Source organism: Homo sapiens, chromosome 1 (genome assembly GCF_000001405.40).
Source record: "Homo sapiens chromosome 1, GRCh38.p14 Primary Assembly".
Taxonomy (NCBI): Eukaryota; Metazoa; Chordata; class Mammalia; order Primates; family Hominidae; genus Homo; species Homo sapiens.
Window position 1 is genome coordinate 77,414,971 of NC_000001.11, and position 26,765 is coordinate 77,441,735.

The window sequence follows — 26,765 nt, forward strand, 5'->3', positions numbered from 1 at the left end:
CTTTGTCTGTTGCCTCCTATGATATATTAATCCTGTTGCCAGGAGTAACAATGTTTCAAGAAATTTCATCCCTAATGATACAATATAATTCCTGTTGAAAGCATCTTATTGCAACAGAGGGAGACTCTGTCAAAAAAAAACAACATACATTTTATTAGGAAATCCAATCTCTTCTTACTTATAAGCATGAAGCTTTCTTTTAAACAAAGGTATTTTCATTCTACCATTGCTGATGATAGTTTTCTAATTATCTTGCTCCGTTTTCAAGTATTAACGTGTAATATCCGTTAACTGAGTTGTTTAAGAGCCTTTCACATTGTCGTTTTTGAAAACAACGGAAAGAACACTTTGTAATTAAATAAAATAAGTAGGACACGGGTACTAAAAGCAGCTATATGTTTAAAAAGATTTCATGTTCAGATCACAGTACTCACTCCACATGAATCACTCTAAGTACAGGTGAAGCAAAGGTATCATTTGAATCCAATAGCTATCACCACTTCCACCAGTCAGTGGCAGATAATAATCATATTGTGGAAGTAAAGAAAGCCAGATAAAATTTGTGTTATCTTTAATGATGCTTTCAATAGCAGCCACCTAGAAGGGAGCATTGATTGTTACCAGCTTGAATGAGACTCCTTAATTCCACTTCTGATTCTTCCATTTCCACAGCCACCCTATGACCTGCGTCATCATCAACCATTCACTGTTCCTCATTTTCTCAGCACATGGACTTGACAGCATGCTCCTCCAGGTCCTTTCCTGCAGAGCACTGTAGCGAAAGAGGGTCTGTATAAACCCATTTCGATTGCCCTTGCTTAGAATTTGGAGTCAGCATGGTGTGTTATAAAGAGAAGTAGGAGCTACTGGCTCTGCCTTTGGTCTCAGGCACTTTCTACATGACCTAGGCCAAGTTTTTTAACTTCTCTGCATCTCATTTTCCTCTTTTCTAAAATGAGAAGTGGGATTCTGTGAAACAGACGTTGAAAGTAGTGGCAAAAACCACAATTTCTTTTGCACCAACCTGATAGTTCTAAAATGTCTATTATCTTATAATGGGAAAAATACATATATAGATTTTTTTTTTATTTCTGATACTTACTGCCTCACAACATAAGTGCAAACTGACCTTCAAACTGGGCTTTACGACGGCTGAGTATTTTGGCCCCAAAATACACCTTACAAAATTATTTATTTGAAAAAAATACCAAAAGTACAAAGGTAGAAAAATTATGTATAATCCCACTAATGTTAAAATACATATGTAAATTAAAGTTTCCCACCTCTACCTTCTAATCTCTGTTAATAGTATGGTGGGTAGTCTTGCCAACTCCATTCTAGCAGCCATCTTATGAACAGTGGTCTGGCAAGGGCTGTGCTGACAGCATGACTAGCATCACCCAGGGTTGTTCTGAACACACTTATGCAACTGCAACTCTTCATGGCAACGCTATGATTACTTTTCCAAAATGGTTTGATGGTTTAGTATGTCCATTTTGAAAAACTTTATCATCCTGTAAAAAATGTAAAGATATAAACACAGTAAACACTGGCATTACTGCTTAGAACTTAATCAATTTGGTAATGGCTATTACTTTGTCAAGTTGGTAGACAGCAGGGACAATGATAAGAGAAGAGAAGGGGGAAAAAAGAGAAGAGATGAGAGAAGACTGTGTAAGGACATACCCCGACTCATTTGGAAAGAAAATATGAAAGCAACATCGGGGACAGGTCTATATCTGAGAAGTGTATGAGATGCTTAACATTTTTTACAAATTTATATTCATTATGCATTACTCATTGGATATTCTGACTAAGAATGATTTGCCAAGGCCAAGTTTACAGTGAAACAATGTTTTTTCACAGGATATATAATATTTTATGGGCAGCACTGAATTCAGTCTTTCTGGGTAGTTAGATGATATATATTTCCTAGCAGGAAAGAGTTATTAAATGAGAATGATGAATCAGTTGTGCTTCAGAAGTCCCATTGTAAAAATTACCAGTTTAAGTCTGAGCCTTGGGGATTAATGGGTAACTGATTTAATGAAACCTGTAGTACCTAAGGGAAATAATCTCTCTATTCATACATTAAGTTAACCCGATTTTTCTTACCTTCAGCAACTAAGGTGACCCGAAGGCTTGAGGAAAAACTCGAGTTTTCAGGGAGTACGCAAACTTAGCCCTTCCTGTTTCTGGAAACCCCTTACTCTCCTCCCACTCTGTACTTTGCTCATGGTGTTCCTTCTACTTCCATTATTGTTGCAAATCCTGAAACTGCTCCCCCTCCTGGACAACCTGTATTCACCCTCAAAATTCAGGATCATAGATTAGTACCTCATGAAGAATCTTAACTCCACCATCACCTCTACTACTAATCAGAATTAGTAGCTCACTCTCTTGGGTTGCTGAACCTTTAATAATAACTCTTGTTGACAAATTATTCTTCCTCACAGTATTTTCTTCTTCTTAAGGATGCAGACAGTGTCCAGAGTCTCTGCATTTTGAATCTCCAGCAAAACATTGTACCTGGCAGATGAGAACAGTCTAGAAATGTTTGTGAATTTAATGTGATATAGGAAAATATGGAAACCTAGTGAGAGACTGTTTGCTTTAGAAACATACATAGACAACCTCCATCCACTTATCTTTTCTTTCCTAATCTTAGGTTCAAGTGACCTTGATCCTTCGATGATATTGGACACTGGAGAGATCATTGATACAGGATCTGATTATGAAGATCAGGTAATTAAAATCTGAAAATAGTTCTCTATTTAAATGTTTTTAAGTTGAACCTTTGTAAATGTTTTATGAAAATTTGAATTATAAAAACTCATTTTGTGAAATATATACAGATAACTAATAACATATTACATGATAAATTACAGTAGTCTACAGTTTTCATTCACTAAGTTTGGCTTTTTGGCACTCCCTTGTCCTAAGATTCAAAACACAGTGAATTAAAGAAAGGTTTATCATCAAACGTTAACATGGGATAGAAATGAGGTTCTCTTGCCCAAGAATTTGCCTGTGTCTCTATCCCTTCCCACTAATAAACTAATAATATTTACTGAGCATCAGCTACAGGTTCAGGGCTCTGCTATTTTATCGCTAACTGTATTAGTCCATTTTCAAGCTGCTGATAAAGACATACCCAAGACTGGGCAATTTATAAAAGAAAGAGGTTTAATGGAGAACTCACAGTTTCACATGACTGGGGAGACCTCACAATCATGGCAGAAGACAAGGAGGAGCAAGTCACATCTTACATGGATGGCAGCAGGCAAAGGGAGAACTTGTCCAGGGAAACTCCTGATTTTAAAACCATCGGATCTTGTGAGACCCATTCACTATCACAACAGCACAGAAAAGACCCGCCCCTGTGATTCAGTCATCTCCCACTGGCTCCCTCTCACAACATGTGGGAATTATGGGAGCTACAAGATGAGATTTGGGTGGGGACACAGAGCCAAACCATATCACTAGTCTGTGGAAGGGAATGATGAACGAGGAAAGCATAGCCAAGAAGTTAAATACATTTTCTCTTTGAATAAAACTGAAGACATTTATCTGGGTCATTTTCCTCTCAGCAGAAGAACTCTCTCTGCTGCTATATTTTAATGAACCAAAATAGTTGGCAAATGAGCCAACCCCCTAATTAGGCTTTATTTTTAAAAAAGAAAAATGTCCAAAACTTTCTTCCGCCTCTCATCAGTGCTCCTCAGCAATGGCTAAAAGCCAAGTGAACATGTTCTTGGGGGAGGCTTTGTTCCCATCTTTAACTAATATTCATCACAAATAAAGCAAACAGATCAGACCAGTGTCCATGTGTAATGGCTGGCTGTATATTTCATATACGTATTCAGGAGCTATTTTCTTGAGTATAAAGTTCTTTCCTTATAGCACAAAGCAAGGAGATGATGTTGGCAAGTGCTATAATAGCTACACATGTTTATAGTAATTTTTAACATCTATTAAGCACTTATTACATGCAAAACGTTGTGCCGAGTTTCTTATATTAACTCAGCAATTCTTCACAACATCTCTAGGAAGTAAGAATTATTATCTCTATATCACAGACAAAAAAAAAAAGGACTAGAAGAGTAATTTACCCAAGGTTACATAAATAGTTTCACAATAAGGATGTGAACTTAGGGCACATTCTCTAGCATACCCAAGACTGGGCAATTTACAAAAGAAAGAGGTTGTGCTGCCTCTGCCACAATGTACTGCCTCCCATCCTAACCTCCAAAGACAGGTCATTCAATGATATGTATTGGGAGCCTTTTCAGTTGCTGACCCATAAGACTCCAGCAGAGGCTAATGCAAAACAACCACTTACAATCTAAAATTACAGACTGCACAAAGAAATGATTCACAACAAGGAAGCCAGCTAGTTAAAGAAATGGAAGACTCCACACCCCCCAAGAACTAGAAAGAACAGAAAAATCTGAAAGAAATCATAATATAAGGATATTCAAAATATTGAAAGGGAAGATTAGAAGCCATGAAACAAATACATGAACAAATGGAAAAGAAGAAAGAAAAAGGGAAGAAACAGGCATTGTAGGCACACACAAAAATATCGTCAATTGAAACAGAAATTCAATTAACGGTTGAATAGTAAACTAGATGCAGCTAAAAAGGCACTTGATAGAGTAGAGGAAATTGCCATAGAATAAAACACAGAGCTAAATAGTTGTCAAATATGAGAAAGAACTTAGGAGACATTGAGGATAGAATGATTGGTTCAACATATTCTAAAAGGAATTCCAGAAAGAGAGAATGGAGGTGATGGAGCCGAGGTTATTTTTTAACAGTTAATAGTTGAGAATTTTACAGTTATTTTTTAACAGATAATAGTTGAGAATTTTACAGAGATGAATAAGACAAGTCCCAGTCCCAAGATGGAAGGAACATATCCAGTCCTGAGCAGGATTTTTTTTTAATCCTCATCTACTCTTTTTTCATTTAATCATTCAACAAGTATTAATTGGACACCGACTGTGTGCCAGTTTCTGTTTAGGCACTTAGAATATAATTACATAAAAGAAGCAAGGGCTCTTGTGGCAAGAAGCTTACATCAGAGTGCAGAAGACAGAAAGTAAACAATAAACATAGTAAATTAGTCAGTTTTCTAGATTGTCAGAGGTGATAAACTCTATGAGAAAAGAAAGTAGAAAAGGTAAGGGGGTTAGGAATGCTGGGGGAGGAACAGATTACCACATTAATCAGGATGGTCCATATTAAATGGTATGCCCTCATTAAAGAGGTGAGATTTGAGCAGTGACTTAAAATATAATGTAAACCAGCAGAAGATGGAAGAGAAAACTAAAATATTAAAAGTGAAAATATAGTGTTACAGCTCTTTTAGAATTTGTCTAGCAGGCTTTCTAGTTTTTGCTGGAAAGCCCAGAAAAAAAAATTCTTTTAAAAAATTAAAAAGTGAAAATGCAGTTACTATAAAGGAATGACAATTTTGTTTGCAGCAGATTAAATGAAACAAGAACTTGCATTTATTTAGCACCTACTCTAAACCAGGAATGTGTTTTATGGTTTACATGCATTATTGCTGATCCTTACAATAACTCAAGAAGTAAGCTCTGTTAATCCCTAATTTGAAGCCAAGGAAATTGAAGCTCACAAAAGTTAACTGACTTCCCAAGACCATAAAGCTAGCAAGCTGTAGAGTCAGAAATCAAACTTTGATTTGCCTGGCACCAAAATCTATTCTCCACTTTCCCCACTCCAATAAAGCCATTAACAAGCTCACTAGTAATCTTTTGCCAATTCCAGTTAACCCTTTTTAGTTATCTTTCTTGACCTTTGCTGCATTTGACACCGTAAACTAGGGATCACCACACTTTTTCTGTAAAGGACCAGGCAGTGTAAATATTTTAGGCTTTGTGGGCCCGTATGTTATCTGTTGCAACTACTCAAACTCTGCCATCATTGAGCAAAACAGCCATAACAATATGTAAACAATGAATGTGGCTTTGTTGCAGTAAAACATCATATGTGGATACTGAAATTCAAATTCCATATAATTTTCATGTCATTTATTTCCACCATTTAAAAATGTAAAATTCATTCTTGCTGAAAGGCCATATAAAAATAGGCAGCAGAGTGGATTTGACCTGCAGGCCATAGTTTGCTGACTCCTGTCGTGAACCATTCCCCCATTCCTGACATTCTTTCCATTAGCTTTCAACATTTCTAGAGCTTTTAATACTTGTCGGTGTGCTTCATATTTATTACCTCATTTTATCCTCAGACAACTATATTATTATTATCCCAATTTTCCTGATGAGGGATCTGAGGCACAGAGAAATTAAGAAGTTTACTCAAGGTCACATGGTTGGCAAGAGGTAAAGCCAGGATTCAAAAGGTAGAGCTAGGATTCAAATCCAGCTGTGTGACTCCAGAGCCAGGCGCAGGAAAGATAGGCTAGGTTATGCTGGTATAATTAATAAAACTCAAAATCTGAGAGCTTTCCTTCCAGAGTTCCTTTTACATGTGATCTCCAAAGGGATTATGGATGGGAAGGAGAAGAACTTGAGGAAGATGCACCTGCATTTAATTGCACATTACCTCATCTCACATTCAGTAGCAACCCTAGTCACTGGCTCTACCTAGATGCAAGGAGGCTGAGAAATGGAGCTTATTTATATGCCCAGGAAGGGAGAGATGGGTTTGTTGAGCACCAAGCCAGTCTCAGCCACAAAGCTTCTGCTCCTAACCACAGGCTGCAGCACCTGCCTCCATGTGATCCCTCCCTCTTACTTCTCGCTTCACTCATTCTTGGTTTCCTTGCTGAACTCCTCTCCATCAGTCTATTATTTAACTGTGAACACTCCCCAGCATACTGACCATGGCCCCTTCTCTCCTAACTGCACATGTTCTCCTGTGAGAGGCTCAGTCACAGCCATGGTTTTGACTTCACTTAAGGCTTCCTGGTGAGCTCCTGTTGCATATGTCTGACTACTAAGTAACACCAGTTGGATTTCCCATGTGCATCTTGAATTCAACATGTCCAAAACCACGCTCACCATCTTCCCCCACAAAATCTGTTCTTCCTTCTGTTCTTCCTATTTCTGTGAATGATACCACCATTCTCCAGCTGCCCAAGCCAGACACAAGGGCGTCTTCCTAGCCTCCTTCCTTTCTCTCTCTTCCTACATCAGTTTGATCAAGAAGCTACTCAGTTCTCCTGTGCAGGAATTGCTTCTCCCACTCCACTGCCCATGCTTTGGTTCACACCCTCAGCCTTCCTCCCTGGGACCATAGGGCCAGCCTCCTAACCAGTCTCCTTCCCTCAGTCTGCTCACCCATCAAATTATCTTCCTGAAAGCACACACAATCATGGCATTCCATGGCTTAAAACTTTTCTTGGCTCTTCATCGATTTCAGAATTAAACTGGAAGCTCTTAGAAGATTCATAGAAACTTTCAAATCTGAATATGACCCCTACATTTTTCTCCAAACTCATCCATTGCCACTTATCAAAACACACTGACTGCTCCAGCCACACAAAGCCATTCTCAGGTCCCTCAAATGGGTCATGTTTGCACAGTCCCTTTCCTCTATATGGAAGTTTCCTCAACCCTATTGCTTCTGTCCCGTGTGACCTCTACTCATGCACCATCAGGACCAAGCTTCCCCTCTAGGAAACCCTTCTCTTGTCACAGGTTTGGTTCACCTTCTCAGGGGGCCCGTGATACTCTGTGTTGTAATATTATCTTGCATTTCAGGTACTATGTTCTGCTCTCTGTATCCCCAGTGCCTGCCACGGAGCCTGGCATATGGCATATGCTCAATAAATGCCCATTTGTTTAAAGCCAAGAACATGAATTCCAGTTCTTCTACTTAATGTGTGATGTTTTTATGCCTTACTGAGCCCCTTTTGGGCCTCAATTTTCCCTTCGAGAAAATGGTGGTGACAACCCCACTTAGAAGTACTGTTGGCTGGGTGCGGTGGCTCACGCCTGTAATCCCAGCACTTTGGGAGGCCAAGGTGGGTGGATCACGAGGTCAGGAGATTGAGACCATCCTGGCTAACATGGTGAAACCTTGTCTCTACTAAAAATACAAAAACAAAAAATTAGCCGGGCGTGGTGGTGGGCACCTGTAGTCCCAGCTACTTGGGAGGCTGAGGCAGGAGAATGGCGTGAACCCGGGAGGTGGAGCTTACAGTGGGCCAAGATAGCACCACTGCACTCCTGCCTGGGCAACAGAGCAAGACTCCGTCTAAAAAAAAAAATAAAAAAAAAAGAAGAACTACTGTTGTCAGAGGTAGGGAGTGCAGGGTACCTTGTACAGAACAAATGCTGCATAAATGTGAGTTCCCTACCTTCCCTCTTTCAAATATGACTGAACTTTTCAAGATAGCCTTCTATAGCTGACAGAGGCCACCTCTTCTTCAACTAAGTGAATGCCAGTTGTCTGAGCACTTCTGATTCCTGGACTGGCATGTGAGGCACTTAGAAGTTGCTGCTCTATCCTAACAACCAGTAAAAAGCTGAACAACTGAAAATAAACAATCACTCTTAGATCTGTCAGAGAAGTGAGGTTACAGGACAAACCCTTACCCCAAAGATTGGAGAGACAATCAGAGAATCACAACTTACCCAAACAGAAACCCTCAAGCAGAAACGTCTGTAGAAGCCTGTACCAGGGCTGGAAACACTGAACAGTGATAATAGCTGGAGGTTCAGTGTGGACAATATGAGAGTTAAAAATCCCAGAGAGATCCAGTCATGGGACCCCACACTTCTGTAAGTTTTACCTCCAGGAGCTTTGCCAGGTCCTCACAGTGAATATCTGGAAAAATTCCCCTCAGTCTTCTGGCCGTGGGAGGAGAAAAAAAAAACACTTTGAAATATGCTAAAGCATTCTGCTCCTTAACAAGGCCTGCCCTCAGAAGAAACTACTTTACCAGGGCATAACATTCCTAGAGCAAGAGAAAACCCAACTCTAGCCACCTCTAGCCATCCTGTCCCACCCAAAGGGAGAAAAGTATCGAAAAACACTGGCAGAGTTCACAGTCCAGGGCCACAGGCTCACCAAAAGACTGAGACCTAATTATAGGACTGTAGAACAATTCCCCGGCCCCATACTTTATCACAGCATTACTAAAGATTATTTACTGTGGTTCCTTTTATTCAGTATATCAGGTCCATCTGTCAAGGAAAAATTACAAGGTATGTCAAAAGGCAAAAAACATGATTTGAATAGACTAAGCATCAGAACCAGTCATATATAGCAGGAATGTGGGTCATCAGACCAGGAACATTTTATTTTATTTTTTAGAGACAGACTTTTGCTGTGTTGCCCAGGTTGAAGTGCAGTGGCATGATCATAGCTCACTGCAGCCTTGAGCTCCTCAGCTCAAGCAATCCTCTTGCCTCAGCCTCTTGAGTAGCTAGGACTACAGATGTACACCACCATGCCTGGCTAATTTTATTTTTTGTGTAGATGAGTCATGCTGTGTTGCCCAGGCTGGGAATTTTTTAAAACTATGATTAATATGCCAAGGACTTTAATGATAATAAATAGACAACATGCAAGAACAAATGGATAATGTAAGCAGAGAAGGAAATTCTAACACAGAAGCAAAAAGAAATTCTAGAGATCAAAAACACTGTAATAGAGGTGAAGAATGCCTTTGATGGGTACATTTAATAGACTGCACATGGCTGGGGAGAGAATCTCTGAGCTTGAGTATATGACAATAGAAACTTTCAAGGCTGAAAAACAAAGGGAAAGGCTGAAAAAACAGAACTGAATATCTGAGAAACATAGGACAGCTACAAAAGATGTAACATATGCATAATGGGAATACCAGAAGGAAAAGAAAGAGAGTAATGAACAGAAGCAATATTTGAAGCAACATTAACTGAGAATTTCCCCTAGATTAATGAACAACACCAAACCACAGATCCAGGAATCTCAGAAAATATCAAGCAAGATAAACGCCCCAAAACAAAAGGCCTTTATATACAAACTTCAGAAAATCAAAAATAGAGAAACAAATCTTGAAAGAAGCCAGATTTTAAAAATGCCTTACCTGTAGTAGAGCGAAGATCAAAATCATTTTTACTTTCTTTTCAGAAACTTTGCATGCAGGAAGAAAATGGAGTAAAATATTTAAAGTGTTGAAAGAGGGGAATAAAGCACCAACCTAGAATTCTGTACTCGACAAAATTATCCTTCAAAAATGAAGGAGAAATAGAGACTTTCTGAGATCAACAAAAATTGGGGGAATTTGTTGCCAGCAGACCTGCCTGGCAAGAAATGTTAAAAGAACTTCTTTAAAGAAGAAAAAATGACATAGAGCCAGGCATGGTGGCTCACGCCTGTAATCCCAGCACTTTGGGAGGCCAAGGCAGGTGGATTGCTTGAGGTCAGGAGTTTGAGACCAGCTTGGCCAACATGGTGAAACCCCATCTCTACTAAAAATCCAAAAAATTGGCCGGGTATGGTGGCACACGCCTGTAGTCCCAGCTACTCAGGAGGCTGAGGCAGGAGAATTGCTTGAAACCAGGAGGCGGAGGTTGCAGTGAGCCAAGATCATGCCACTGCACTCCGGCCTGGGTGATAGAGCAAGACTCTGTCTCAAAAAAAAGAAAAGAAAAGAAAAATGATGTAGTTCAGAAACTCAAATCTATGTAAAGAAAGGAAGAGCATGAGAGAATGAATAAGTGAAGATAAAATAAAGAAATTTTTCTTATTCTTAATTGATCTAACAGATGAGTATGTTCAAAATAATAGCAACAATATATTTAATTATATATACTTATGATTCTGTATACATGTTTATGTGTAAGTGAAATAAATGAGAGCAATGATACAAAGAACAGAAAGGAGGAATTAGGAATGTTTTGTTATTACAAGGTACTTGCACTACCCATGAAGCAGTAGAGTGTTATTTGAAAGTGGACTTGAAATAGTTGCAAATGTTTATTGCAAATTTCAGGACAACCAATTTAAAAAGTGAGAAAAGAAGTATATGTGGTATGCTCATAAAGGAGAGAAAAAGACTCATAATGCTCAAATAAAACTACAAAAGGCAGAAAAAGTTTGCCAGACAAAAATAGGAACAAAGAACAAAAGCAACAAATAGGAAACAGTAACAAATATGGTATATATTAATCCAAGTATATCAATAATCACTTTAAATTTCAGTGATCTAAGCACACCTATCAAATGACAGAGATTGTCAGAGTGGATCAAAAATCAAGACCCCACTATATGTTGTCTACAAGAAACCCACTTTTAAGTATAAAGACACATATAGATTAAAAGTAAATAGAGAAAGCTCTACCACGCTAACGCTAATCAAAAGAAAGCAGGAGTTGCTATATTAATTTCAGACAGAGCAGAATTTAGAGGAAGGAAAGTTATCAGAGATTTTTTAAAGCATTACATAATGATAAAGAGGTTAATTCTCCAAGAGGACATAATAATTCTTAATGTGTATGTGCCTAACAACTAAGCATCAAAACACGTAAGGCAAAAACTAGTAGAATAGCAAGGAGAAATAAGTGAATTCACTATTATAGCTGGAGACTTCAACACTCCTCTATCAGAAATGGACAGATCCAACCAGAAGAAAATCAATAAGGTTGTAGTTGAACTCAATAATACCACCAAACACCACCAGTCAACTGGATATAACTGGCATCTATAGACTGCTTTATCCAACAACAACAGAATACACATTCTTCTCAAGCTCACATGGAATATTCACCAAGACTACATTCTGGGTCATAAAACATACCTTAACAAGTTTAAAAGAATATAAATCATACAGTGTCTGCTCTCAGAACACAGTCAAATTAAACTAGTATTCAATAACAGAAAGATAGAAAATCCTCAAATACCTGGTGATTAAACAGCACATTTCTAAATAACACTTGGGTCAAATAAAAAACCTCAAGAGAAATGTTAAAATATTTTGAACTAAATGAAAATGAAAATTTAACAAAATTTGTGAGATGCACCAAAAGCAGTGATAATGGGGAAATTTATACAATTGAATGGATATATTTGTATATACATTGAATTCATATATTAGAACAAAAGAAAAATTAAAACTAATAAAAGCCTCCACTGTAGAAAACTAGAAAAAGAAGACCAAATTAAGTCCAAAGTAAGCCAAAGAAAAAAAACTAATAAAAATTAAAGCAGAAATCAATGAAATTATAAATAGGAAATCAAAACAGAAAACTAACAAAACCAAAAGCTGGATCTTTGAAAAGATCCATAAAATCAATGAGCCTCTAGCCAGGCTAACCAAGGAAAAAATAGAGAAACACAAATTATTATCAGAAATAGAAGATGGGAAATCACTACAGATCTCATGGACATTAAAGGGATAATAAAGAAATATTATTAACAATGCTATGCCCACGAATTTGATATGAAATGGACCAATTCTTTGAAAGACACAGCCAAAACTCATACAAGAAGAAACAAACTATCTGAATAGGTATATATTATTAAATAAATTGAATCAATAACTAATAATCTCCCAAAACAGAAAGCTCTAGGTTCACTGGTGAATTTTACCAAACATTTAAGGAAGAAATCATACCAATTCTCTATCAGAAGATAGAAGCAGAGGGAATATTTTCTAACTCATTCTATGAACCATTCTCTATATACCAACACTAGACAAAGACATTACAAAAAAAGAAAACTGCAGACCAGTATCTTTATAAGTGCAGATGTGAAAATCATCAACAACATATGTAAAAAGCCTACAGCTAACATCATACTTAATGATGAGAAACTTGAAGCTTTCCTGCTTTTCTGCTAAGAAAAGAAATAAGGCAAGGATGTCTCCTTTCACCATTGCTTTTCAGCATTATACATAGAAGCCCAAGCTAATGCAATAAGACAAGAAAATAAAAAGCATATAGATTAAGAAGGAATAAATAAAAGTGTCCTTGTTCACAGATGAACACATAAAATGGGAACTCACTTATTACCACAAGGACAGAACCAAGCTATTCATGAAGGATCTGCCTCCATGACCCAAACACCTCTCATAGGCCACATCTCCAACAGGGGAGGTCACATTTCAACATGAGATGAGATGGGACAGAACCTCCAAATCGTATTAATGACAGTGGCTTTTTAGATATAGCACCAAAGGTATAATCCACAAAAGAAAAAGTGCATAATCTGGACTCCATTAAAATGTAAAACTTCTGCTAATGGTCTGAGCAGAGTGTGTAGAGTTGCTGAGCCCACACACTAAATCTGAAAATGACACCAGATTGACAAAGGTCACACCAAGGAAAATGTGTGCTGTTCCTCTTCTCTGTGTACTTTTTTGTTCATTGAAAATACCTGCTCAACACAGAGAAAACTATCACTTAGGTTCTCAAAACCTGAAGCCACACTTCTGCAGCTTCAGCTATCCAGAGGAACAAATGCCCCATCAATAAAAGTACTGACTTTTTCCCATAGGATGAAAAACCAAAACCAAAAACACTGATGAAGGTGATAGCCCAGGCCTTCCACTCCATTATTAGGCTTATTTGTACCTTTGTCCATTCAACCAGCTTCAAAGGAGGAGGTGTGCAGCTTGTCTTCAGGTTTATGCTCTATCCAAGTTCTTTTTTTTTTAATTTTTTTAATTATACTTTAAGTTTTAGGGTACATGTGCACAACGTGCAGGTTAGTTACGTATGTATACATGTGCCATGTTGGTGTACTGCGCCCAGTAACTTGTCATTTAACATTAGGTATATCTCCAAATGCTACCCCTACCCCCTCCCCTCACCCCACAACAGGCCCCAGTGTGTGATGTTCCCCTTCCTGTGTCCATGTGTTCTCATTGTTCAATTCCCACCTATGAGTGAGAACATGCGGTGTTTGGTTTTTTGTCCTTGCGATAGTTTGCTGAGAATGATGGTTTCCAGCTTCATCCATGTCCCTACAAAGGACATGAACTCATCATTTTTATGGCTGCATAGTATTCCACGGTGTATATGTGCCTTTTCTTAATCCAGTCTATCATTGTTGGACATTTGGGTTGGTTCCAAGTCTTTGCTATTGTGAATAGTGCCACAATAAACATATGTGTGTGTGTGTGTCTTTATAGCTGCATGATTTATAATCCTTTGGGTATATACCCAGTAATGGGATGGCTGGGTCAAATGGTATTTCTAGTTCTAGATCCCTGAGGAATCGCCACACTGACTTCCACAATGGTTGAACTAGTTTACAATCCCACCAACAGTGTAAAAGTGTTCCTATTTCTCCACATCCTCTCCAGCACCTGTTGTTTCCTGACTTTTTAATGATCGCCATTCTAACTGGTGTGAGATGGTATCTCATTGTGGTTTTGATTTTCATTTCTCCAATGGCCAGTGATGATGAGCACTTTTTCATGTGTCTTTTGGCTGCATAAATGTCTTCTTTTGAGAAGTGTCTGTTCATATCCTTTGCCCACTTTTTGATGGGGTTGTTTTTTTCTTGTAAATTCAATGTGCCAGACTCTATATGAGGTGCTGGGGATACATTGGTGGGCAAAAGATGGCACAGTTCCTGCTATCATAGAGCTTATAGTAGAACTAGACAAGAATAGAATAGTCAGAGAAATAAAGTTAAAACTGTGAAGTACTTGGGAGAATAAGTGCATGGTGCTGTGTGTAGATGTGGTTGGTGAGGTGAGGAAAGTCTTCTCCAGGATGGTCTAGATCTCCTGACCTCGTGATCCGCCCGCCTCGGCCTCCAAAAGTGCTGGGATTACAGGCGTGAGCCACTGCACCTGGCGGGCAAGAGATTCTTGAATTGAGATCTGTAAGATTGGTCATAGGTAACCAAGTATGTATGAGAACAGGAAAGAACTGGGGAGAAGAGAAAGGGATGTTCAAAAAGAGGAAATAGCAGGATGAAGCAGGAAGAAGCATGGCATCCAAAAGAAGACCAGGATAGCTGGAGTGCAGATGAGCCTGGAAAGTAGGGCTTTGTAGAGCAGGTTAGGGGTTTTGACTTTATCCTAAGAGCAATGGGGAACCTTGAAGAGTTGGGGTTTCTGAGGAGGGAGGAGAGTGTGTTGACATAATTATATTTGTGTTTATTTTTTAAAACATTTTTCTGGCTGCAATGTGGAAAACACATTGGAGAAAAGCAATCTATGGAGTTCAAAAAAAAAAAACAAAAAAACAAGGCATCTATGGAGTCCAGAGTGGGAGGCTGCAGTGGTCCAAACAAGAGTTGATGGTGACACTGGAGTAAAAAAGGGGACAGAGAGAAAGAGGTGTATTTGAGAAGAACTTGTGACGAAAGTCAACAGGACTTCATGTTGGAATGGATATGGGAGCCAACAGGGGGTGAGCTGTTGAAGATGACTTCTGGGTTTTCAACTGGTACAGCTGGGTAGACAGTGGTGGCATTCACTGAGAAAAGACGAGTTCTGTAAAGATAGGGCATGAGTGTAATTTTAGACATGCTGAGTTCAAAGTGCCTTAACATATCCAAGTAGAAAATTTCAGTGAGCAATTAAATATATAGGTCTGGTGTTCAGAGGAAATATCTGAGCTGGAAATACAAATTTGTGAGCCTTTTTAATATAGATAGGACTTGAATTTGTGAGTGGAGATGAGATAGAGAAAGAAAACAAAATTGAGAGAAGAGGCTCTATAGCTGAACACCGAGGAAATTTAAAGTCTTAGTAGAGAAAGATGAAAGAGCAGAAAGACGTAGAAGAAGCCATTAGAGAGATATGAGGAAAATCAGTAGAATGTGGTGTTCCAAAAGCCAGAGAAAACAGTATTTCAGGAGGCAGGGAGTGCCAAATGTGGCTGAGAAGATAAGGAAGAGAGAGACTGGAAAATAATCATTGAATATAGAAACACGGAGGAAATTGAGAACTTTACAAAGCGCTATAAAGTGAAGACACTTAAGCATGTTTTAACTCACAGGAAAGGTCTACTTGTTTGTGAAAAGGAGAATATACAAGTATAAGAGAGAGGAAAGTCTATCTGAATGTGGTAGGACTGGGTTCTCCAGCCCTGGTGGAGAGACTGGCATGAGACCAAAAGAGTCTCGTGTGGGTTAAGACAGAAGGAACATTGATAGGATAGGAGGATGGGTTTGTATATTTAATGGTGGGAAGTCAAAGAGTTCCTGTAAGATGACTTCCAGAGGCAAAGCCATCTGTTGAGATTTCAGGGTTTCAAGAGAGTAGAAGCCTGAACTGTTGTGAAATCTAGCAGGCAATGTGCTAAGGAAACACAACAGGATTACCAAGCATTTCATTTGATATTAGTGAATTGAGAGCCCATTTGACATTAGTGACTAGAAATTTATTTTGACGAATCAATCATTTTCATTTTTTTCATTCCTTTAGCAAATGTTTATTGGGTGGCCTTAGGTGCCAGACACTCTTATAGGCGCTATACTGAGTGTTGTGGAATTCTAGCAGGACACAGAGAAGGTCAGTAATTTGGTTCACACAGTGATGGAATTTTAGCAAATATGTGGTTCAGAAAGGCAGAGAGCAAAGCATTGGCAGAGTATAAGTGGTAATGAGCTGAGGATTCTAAGCAGTTTAGGAAGGAAGTGGGTAGAGAACAATTAGGAGCCAACGCCCAAAAGCACTAGAAGCATATTTGACTTCTTTAAAAATATAACCCTATGTCACTCTTTTAAATCAAGAGTGCTATCTCTTGGTTTAAAAGAATATTTGATCCTAGCAAATTGTGTCATTCTAAATAACAGAGAGGGAAATTCTCTAACAGAAAATGATATTTATTCAGAAATGGGCATTGCAATAGGAATATGGGTGCCATTGTAAACTATGTGTGTATTCAGGGAGGTAAAGGAAGACAAAGGTCTTGTAAGAAAAAAATGAGGAGGATTACATAATAGTTTTGAGATAATTATCCTTGGCTACAAGGATAAGTAACAAAGGTGGTGTCAGTCCAAGTTTGGAAAGGCAATTGCTGGGCAGATGTCCTCAAAGAAGTGTTTTCTGTGTAAGGTTGTGATGGCCTTTGTGTGAAGTTGTAGTTTTTGCAGAATTTTTTGTGGTAGTTTTGTTATCAAGAACTTGTGCGTGAGAATCCTCCCTTTATGGCCTTCCCAAGCACTGTTTTTCAGCTGTTTTTGGTTTTGTTTTTTTCTTGTTGACACAAGTGACTCTATTTTGATTCTGATAACTTTCACATTTCCCCCCTTTTGATCAAGATCTTTTTCTGAAAGTATCACCATTCAATCATCCTGTAGTTAGATTTTCATTGTCCCTTGGTGCCAGGATGTGTCCCAGATTGTTGGTCTGGTCCCATATCAGAAGACGTGATTGGTGAGTAGGAATCTGTGTCAAAAGCGTTCTAGCCACATTTGAGCAACAAGGGAGGCTTGGAGGAAATGGCTCTCAGGCTAAGTCTACCTGGAATTTATTGCTATGTTCAGTTTTGTCTATTCCATAGTATTTTGGCCACAATCTCAAAGCACTGGGCCAGCATTATTCTGTTAGGAGTTGTACTTCTGCAGAAATTTAACAAGCAACAGGTACAAGTTTTAAAAACAAAAATATAAAATAAAATTAATAGTAATATGGTAAATCCAAGTTTGTATAATGGTTTTGAGCCATGAATCCAGTCTTAAAGACAAACAATTGAATAAAGCAAATGACCATTGAGAATTAGATGACATCTGTTGTTACTGTGTGACCCATTTAAAAAATTCTGTGGATATGGGCCTCAACTTCCCCAGAGGAATTTACCCAAGTATAACATGTAGTATTAGTGGAAGCGTAGACTTTTTTTTATTTAAACAATAGATACCTAAGAGGTCATGTTCTTTTAAGTTATGAGCAGAAGCTGCTGATTGTGAAATCTGAATTACATCATTATCTTGCCAAAGAAAAAGGTAAGCATAAGAAAGGAAAAATTAAGAGGGGCAAGAGTCTCATTTTGATGGAGTGTCTTGGGAAACGCTGCCTATAGCATGAAGCCATCAACTTCTCTTGGCTTGCAGTTTGAATTCTCTGCTATGGTATCAGGTGGATTGGTGAACTTTCTGTGTGGCACAAGACTTGTCCTTCTTTTTTCGGGTATGAGACTTGTCTCTTGAAATTTATATCAAGTTGTCTAGCTTCATCTTCTAAGGCGGCAAGCACAGAGCAGTTTTTGCTCTTAGTTGGAGAGTTGCAGCCAAATATTGAAGAAAATTAGGAGAATTCAGGTTCTGATCAGATCTACAGGTAGAAGAGAAGAACTTGAAAACAATGCACAGGGGCACAGCCTAATAATAGGTGTATTATAGTTTTTTTCTTTAGAAACATAACATTCTCTCTATAGTCATCCTTATTTTTACCAAAGATAATCACAGTAAGACTAATTTGTTTGTAAAATATGTTTAGTTTTATCAAATTTTGCCAGCAAGAATAGTGATTTGACCATACGGTAATCTCAAACTTAAAAACTTCTTGAGGGTAGGAAGCCAAACCAAAGCTGACTTCAGACTTTATCTGTAGTACCTATAAACAATTTAAATATGACAATTTAGTCAAAACTTTTGTGATAAAACCAATGTTTCCACTTGTATCCCATAATAAAGAGAACAGATTCTTATCAAACTTAAGTAAACAATCATATTGTCATGAATAGTTTTCCCATTTTGGAGGGATCAGGTAGGAAGAAAAAGTAAATGCTTTCATTTTTGTTCACAAATGTTTACTTTACCAAGCAGCTGTAAACTATAGATGGCTTAAGACAAAAAGTTTTCTTCAATCTGGAAAACAAAACATTGAGGAAAAGAACCAGCAATGTTTCAAATAAATAGGCTATAAAATTTTTTATCAGTTCATTTAATTTCATGTAATTAATTCTTTTCCTGCTTGAGCTTGATTATTAGTTTCATAAATTTATTAGTTTCTTCATTAGAGTTCTGAAAATTTTTATTTAGTACATAATTTTTATTTATTTTATTATCTAATAACTTTGATCTTAAAGTTATTAGAAACTTATATTTAAGACTACTTCTTAGAGTCTTTTCCATGAATCTGATTGAGTATGTCTTTAGAAAAGAACTCAAACCAGTAACCGTGGATGACAAAAAGATAGAAAACAACCGTGGCTTAAAATCTGATGAAATCAGAAAAATAGAGTGCAAAGCATAAATAAATAAATAAATAAATAAATAAATAAATAAATAAATAAAATTTGATGAAAGTTCATGATAACCAGAAATTGACAAGGAAATTTGGTTACTTTGCGGCATACAACATAATAAGAATTCTGACTGATATATTAGATTTCTAAGAGTTTTATATGATCTTGGAACATTCATATCAATAACATACTCATAAATGTAACTGAAAAAAGATCTAGCATCACTTATCGTTTGACAATGCTTCCCATACAATTTACTAAGTAAACCTAATCATTTAATATCTCTATAAGTTGAGAGATACAGTCTTTGAGGCTCTCCAGGGCCCAACTGGAAAAATCACAAAATTAGTTTTAGGTCAGAAAGATTAAACTTAGAACTTGACCCTAGGGAAAACTTTCAAAAACTGTCAAGAGGCTGAAAACACTTGATCAAAATTAGATTACAGAAAGACTTCAAAAACAATACAGAAAGTTCCATGGATATAAAACAAACCAACAAAAATCCTTAACCTTTCCAAAGCTCAGTTTTCCTAAATAATCAAAAAACATAATAAAGACAATGTGAAGCACAGGAACTTACAAAAATCTTCATCTTAGGCCAATTACCAAAAGGGGGAAAGAAAGAAAAAGCTTCCTGCAATATAATTGCTTCTTACTGGAAGCCCGTTTAAATAACCTGGAAGTCTAACCTGATGAAAAACTACTTGAATTTAATCAGACACAAGAAGAGTGGGTCCAGTGGTATGAGTTTACATCATATCATAGAAGAAGTAAACAAGAAAACTAGTACCTTGAGCAGAGGAATACATGGCTCTTTAAAAAAGTGAAAACATGAAATTGCCTGGTTAGATGGAACAATTCAAACATATCAAGAAAAACCAAGATTGCAGAATCAAGATATACTGGAGGGGAACATTGCTTTTCTAGGGCTTCAAGACAAACATTTGAGCATCAGGTCATAACAGCAGAGCTTGAAGTAGAGAAAAAAGTTTCAGGAGCTGACGAAAAAGTTGAAGGAGCGAGTTATCAACCTAGCCAAGCAAAAAGATGTATCCTCTCAAGGAGGGACAGGAAGAGCAGAAGGCAGTGTTGTATGACCTCAAATCCTGTGCTGCAAGATACAGCAAAAATTGTACTTCTGAGATATGAATCTGAAAAGCTTCAAGAGGAAAACTTTACCTCAAGAAATGAAATTACCATCCTAAATGAAGAACATAGCACTTTTAATTTGAAACTAGGGAAAGTAAATAGACTGTAAAACAGAGGCTGGGCATGGTGGCTCACGCCTGTAATCCCAGCACTTTGGGAGGCTGAAGCCAGGGGATCACAGGGTGAAGAGACCGAGACCATCGTGGCCTACATGGTGAAACCCCATCTCCATTAAAAATATAAAAATTAGCTTGGCATGGTGGCGTACACCTGCAGTCCCAGCTACTCAGGAGGCTGAGGCAGGAGAATCGTTTGAACCCGGAAGGCAGAAGTTGCAGTGAGCCAAGATGGCGCCAGCACTCCAGCCTGGTGACAGAGCAAGACTCTGTCTCAAAAAAAAAAAAAAAAGAAGCTGCAGTTTAGAAGATGGCTGAAATTTTACAGAATTAAAAATCAAAGACTTTCACAAATTTTACTAAGAGCAGATTAGTACTTCAAGAAAACTCTGTTGTTCTAATATAAGAAACCAAAATCTTAGTTTTATATCTTAGTTGTAAATTAAGTTTTAACTTATAAACTAAGTTATGTATATAATCCTTAATCCTTAGAAAGATATACATAATTCCCTTTTATTTATAGCAAACTTGATTACACACACAAAACTCCTTTTATAAAATTCATCCCTCAAAAACCTTTCACGATCTGCACAGACCTTTGATGGCATGCTTAAGCCGTTAGTTTTGTCCTATACATTCGCTTTTTAAAATAACAAGTCACCTTAGGATAAAAATTTACTTTCCTTGTTCCCTTGTTATTTTGAAAAATTATTCACTTCTAACATTCCATGCCAAAAATACATCTTCACACTTAAAACTTTCTTCACATCTCTGTTTCCTACTTACTGGTTCCTTTCTGTCTTGTTTCTATTTCCTTTCTAAATTCGTATTTTGAAACAATCTTTAAATAACCTCTAAATTAGACAAATTTTTCTTTTTCTCAACAAAGAACATATTTTTATCCCTTTCTTATAACTTCTCCTCCCAAAACACATTTTACATTTATTGGTATGCTTTGTATACAGAATTATATATGTTAATTAAAATTCAAACTCTTAGTAACATTAATTTCTAATGAAAGTGTAGGAAGCAAGAAATTTTGAACTGTTCCATATCAGTATTTTATATATAAGAATGATTTTATAATTTTGGAAACATGTTTCCTCATAATTTTAATGTGTATTAATGAACCCAAATATATTTGTTTTTCTATAAAATTTAAGAAGCCAAGAACAAACTTATATTTGTGTTCAGCAATTTGTTTCAATATTTTATCTTATTTTGAAATGACCCAGATACTTAATGAGTATCTGTTACTTAATTTAACATAACTTTAAAATTTTAAGTTATCAAAAAGATTTTTTGAAACTAAGAAGAATTAATTTATAAATGATTATACCATTTACATTCACCTAATTTGTTTATTTTTAACAATTATAACTATATTACTTATGAAAACTAAGATATTAGACAAGGCTAGTAATTATTTCAGGCTAATTCCTTGTTAGCCGTTTTTACAGGCTGTGACTATTAAGCATTCCTCACCCAACTAAGAACCATAAAGTTAAATACTTCAGTATCTTGCCAATAACTCAGAAAATACAGCTGCTTTCATTAAATCAACAATATTAAATTAGTATTACTTATCAAGGAATTACATAAACAAAGATCGTTCTCTTTTTAGGATGGATTCATAGTTCTATGACATTCATGTCAAACACTGACTCCTTAAAATATATCTAACAAAGATAAATGTAAAACTGCCTGACCAGTAAACTCAGGCACAAATCTTTGCTGACAATTCTTAAGACATTTCTGTTTTTATTTTATCAACAATTTTAAAATCAGTTTACTTATCAAACATTTACCCAAGTCAGGTGAACTTAAAAACTTTGAGGTGGCTATTATGTTTTTGATAACATACTTGATTGAAGTGCTTAATTTTTCCCTTTAATTAATTAATTAATTAGCTCTTTGATATATTTTGGTAGAAAAATACATACATGCAACATAAAAACATACAGACAACATGAATACATCGAAGCAGATTCTTTAGCTTTCATTTTGAAATGTTAATCATGAGACAGCAAAACATAGTAATTTAAACTTACCAGTTTATAAAAGGACAGTTGAATCCAAATTATATTTCTGACAAAATGGGACCTGTTCACATGGCTAAATTTTATTTGCCCTGATAGGTGATCTTATGAAGGCTGTGGACCAAAGCTTTGGGTAAAGCAGTTTCCACAGCAGTTTGATTTTTAGAAACCTCTTTTTCTCCTTCAAGTTTTAAACTGGTACAGAGGTTAAATATTCAAACATTTTCATTTTAGATAGCACCAACTAAATTGTGTAGAAAAACAAAATACCCCGGTGGCCTTGAATTCCGGCAATAAATTTATCTTTTTATTTGTTTGTCTGATTTACTTGATTAGTCGATGCAGGCAGGAAAGCATTTTAGAAAAAGGTATTTAAAGGGTTTTTTTTTCCCCTCAGCTTTTCCTGGCTCACATACAGCAGACAAAGCAAAATTTTTATGTCAAAGATACCTTCTATTATTCCCCTGAGCTCAAGATTTCGACCTGTTTGATCTGAGAGCCTAACTTTTGTAAACCTTAATCTAGTTCTTTCCTTCTTAGACTATCTAGCTTTTAATTAACTAAAGCAATTGTTAAATCACCCTAAGCAATTGCTAGTCAATCAAAACTAAATTAACATTTCCAAAAGGGATGACTCTTAGGTGTACTGGATAGCTTGTTGGCTGTCATGGAACTACTGTAATTTGAAAGCCCTCTCTTTTTTTGTTATTTTGGCTGAAATGCTCTTTAAAAAACTTGTAAGTAGCTTTGGAAACTAGCAAAATTAGGTTATTTTAATACAAGTGAAAAAGCAGATTCAGAGAAGCAGAGATGGGGAAAAAAAGGAGAAAAAAAGAAGTTGAGAGCCTCTACATACCAGCATTTTGTTTTAACCCTATATTTGGTACAAAAAAAAAAAAAAAAAAAAAAAAAAAAAACAAGCTTGGGGAGTTCAAATAACGCCTAAGATGGCCATTGGTTTAAAAACATGCATGAGGAAAAACCATGTAGCTGGCTGGAGTCCCAGAAAAACTGGCATGCCTTAATGTTTGAGAATCTCGTTTTGTTTCTTATTAATCTCTTGAGAGAAAAGAAATCTATGCATTCTATCAGGGAATGTCAGGAGTTTGGTATTTTAGATAGTGGCTTTTAATTGGCCATCTCACACCTACCACTTTGTATGTTTATTTTTGCTCTGGGAAGATGTTCAAAAGCAAGCAAGAAGAGAAAAAAAGTACAAGATTCAAATTATTTATAGATGTGCATAACCAGACCAAAATGAAACCAAAATTAGAGTGCTCACAAAAATGTTAAGCCAGGCATGCTAATCAACCAAAATATCAAACTAGGCATGCAGACCAAAAGTGAATTCACCAGAAGAGACATGCATCACAAACAAAGTACACGTTCTATAAAAACCAGAGTACTCGAACCAGAAGAACATTGTCCTTAAACCAGAAAGGGCTTGCCAGAAAAGACAAAAGTTTTTATCATTCCAGGGGGAATGCAAGGTCCATTATTAAGGTGGCCTTACAATCAAATCAGATCCCAAATAATGTCCAAAAAACTCACCAAAGGGAGAGAGTCAGAAAATCTGAGAAGAAATTCTCCAGGACCAAAAAGGCGACTCGTAGAAACGAAGAGCACAAAGGGCTCAGGTGATACTGCTCTCCATTTCAGGGGCTGATAATCTATCTAAGGTGAGCTGACTTAGATCTCACTTCTGACACCATTTATATAATCCTAAATAAGAGAGAGAGAGACTCTCTGAAAGAAAATAATATTTATTTGGGAATGTACATTGCCATGGGAATACATTTGCTGTAGTAATCTATGTGCATATTTAGGGAGGCAAAGGAAGCGAACATTTTCTAAAGGAAAAATGAGGAAGATTACATAATTTTTATTGATACATATTGTACATATGGGGAACAGGTGATATTTTGGTGCACGCATACAATGTGTAATGATCAGGTAATTAGGATATCTATCACCTCAAACATTTATCATTTCTTTACATTGGGAACATTACAAATCTAGCCATTTTGAAATACACAATGAATTATTAACTATAGTCACCCTACTTTGCTATCAAAAACTAGAAATTATTCTTTTTATCTAACTGCATTTTTATACCCATTAACCAACCTCTCTTCACCTCCTCTCCCTCATCACTCTTCCTAGCCTCTGGTAACCAACATTTAACTCTCTGCCTCCATGATATTTACTTTTTTAGCCCTTGCATATGAGTCAGAACTGTGATATTTATCTTTTTGTGCCTGGCTTATTTCACTTAACATAATGTCCTCCAGTTCCATCCATATTGCTGCAAATGACAGTATTTATATAAAATTTGGCCATAAAAAAGAATATGTATGTATATACATATATATGTATGTATACATGTATATGTATATACATACATATATATGTATGTATGTATATCTCATTTTCCTTATTCATTCATCCATTGATGGACACTCAGGTTGATTCCATATCTTTGTTATTGTAAACAGTGCTGCAATAAACTTGGAAGTGCTATATCTCTTCAGCATACTGCTTTCTGGGGTTTTGTATATCCTTTGTTCTTGCTTTCTTATTTATTGTTATTGCAGTTTGGTGGGTTTTTTGTAGTGATAAGCTTTGATTCTTTTCTTTCTCTTTGGTGTATCTATTCCACCAGTGAGTTTTATACTTTCATGTTTTTTCGTAATGATGATGATGATCTTTTTGCTTCCAGGTGTAGGGCTCCCTTGAGCATTTCTTGTGAAGCCAGTCTAGTGCTTTCAAATTTTCTCAGTTTTTGGTTGTCTGGGAAAGACTTTATTTCTCCCTCATTTCTGAAGGGTAGTTTTGTTGGATATGCTATTCTTGACTGACAATTTTTTGCCATTCTTTGAATATGTCATCTCATTTTCTTCTGGCCTATAAGGTTTCTCCTGAGAAATCTGCTGTTCCTCTAATAGGGATTCCCTTATAAGTAGCTCTATGCTTTTCTCTTACTGTTTTTAAAATTCTCTCTTTGCCTTTGATTTTTGATAATTTGACTATAGTGTACTTTGGAGAGGACTTTTTGGGTTGAATCTGTTTGGGGACTTTTGAGCTTCCTGGATTTGAATGTCCATATATCCCCTCAGACTTGGGAAGTTTCTAGCTATTACATCATTAAATAGGCTTTTTTACACCCTTTACAACATCTTCTCTTTCTGAAACTTCCAACTTCCAGAATAAAAATATTTGTTCACTTAATGGTGTCCCATAAGTCTTGTAGGCTGTCTTCAGTCTTTTGTCTTTTTCATTCTTTTTTTTTCTCTAACTGTATAATTTATAATGGCCTATATTCAAGTTCAGAGGCTCTTTTTTTTTTTGTTGTTTTGTTTTTTGAGACAGTCTCACTCTGTCACCCAGGCTGGAGTGCAATGGCATGCAATCTCAGCTCACTGCAACCTCCACCTCCCAGGTTTAAGCTATTCTTCTGCCTCAGCCTCCCAAGAAGCTGGGATTACAGGAGCCCACCATGCCCAGCTAATTTTTGTATTTTTAGTAGAGACGGGGTTTCGCCATGTTGGCCAGGCTGGTCTCCAACTCCTGACCTCAGGTAATTCACCTGCCTTGGCCTCCCAAAGTGCTGAGATTACAGGCGTGAGCCACCGTGCTCAGCCAGAGGTTCTTTGTTCTGCTTGATAAAGTCTGCTTTTTCAGCTCTCTATTGCATTTTTTATTTCATTAATTGAATTCTTTAGCTGCGGGATTTCTGTTTGGTTTTTTAAATGATATCTCTGTTGTACTTCTCATTCATATCATGAATTGTTTTCTTGATTTTATTGAATTGTCCATCTGTATTTTCTAGTACATCATTGAGTTTCCTTAAGATAATTATTTTTTAATTCCTTTTCCATCAATTCATTGATTTACTTTTTATTGGGGTCTCTTACTAGAGAGTTATGTTCCTTTAGTGATATTAAACTTCCATGCTCTTTTATGTTTTATGTGTCCCTGCATTCATGTCTGTGCATTTAGTGGAACAATCACCTCTTCCAAACTTTCTAGAGTGGCTTTCATAGAAAAAGACTCATCTACAGTTGGGTCCTGGTGTGCTCGTTGGGAAAGATGTGGTGACTCTGTTTCCAAGTAGGTGCCATTTTATAGTCTCTCTGCAGCTTCTCTGGCTGTGTTGAACATCAGTAATAACTGTAGGCACCTCAGTGGTTTAGGCTGTAGGACTTTGTGGTAGCTGTAGTGGCAGTGTTTATTGTTAATATCCTCAGTGGCAAGGGCTTCCGGGGTCTTCCTATTCTTATTTTCCCCACAATGGGGACACTTAGCTGAGAGGATCCTTCTTGATGTCA

General features: G+C 36.9%; 1 protein-coding gene, 1 long non-coding RNA gene and 1 pseudogene across 9 annotated transcripts in view; 2 read left to right on the top strand and 1 right to left on the bottom strand.

Annotated features, from left to right (window-relative positions):
• AK5 (adenylate kinase 5) overlaps positions 1-26,765 on the top strand; it is a 277,948-nt gene that overhangs the window by 132,952 nt on the left and 118,231 nt on the right. For all 8 annotated transcript variants that reach the window (NM_174858.3, XM_005270739.6, XM_017001012.2 and 5 more), the window contains one exon: positions 2,669-2,745. In NM_174858.3, coding sequence (NP_777283.1) covers positions 2,669-2,745 — 77 coding nt within the window. The remainder of the gene's footprint in view (positions 1-2,668; positions 2,746-26,765) is intronic.
• Positions 5,356-5,414, top strand: RNU7-8P (RNA, U7 small nuclear 8 pseudogene; annotated as a pseudogene).
• Positions 17,763-22,634, bottom strand: LOC124904202 (uncharacterized). Its single transcript, XR_007066178.1, has 2 exons — positions 22,450-22,634; positions 17,763-18,217 (listed from the first exon to the last, which is right to left on the bottom strand). It is a non-coding gene; the product is annotated as an uncharacterized LOC124904202 (long non-coding RNA).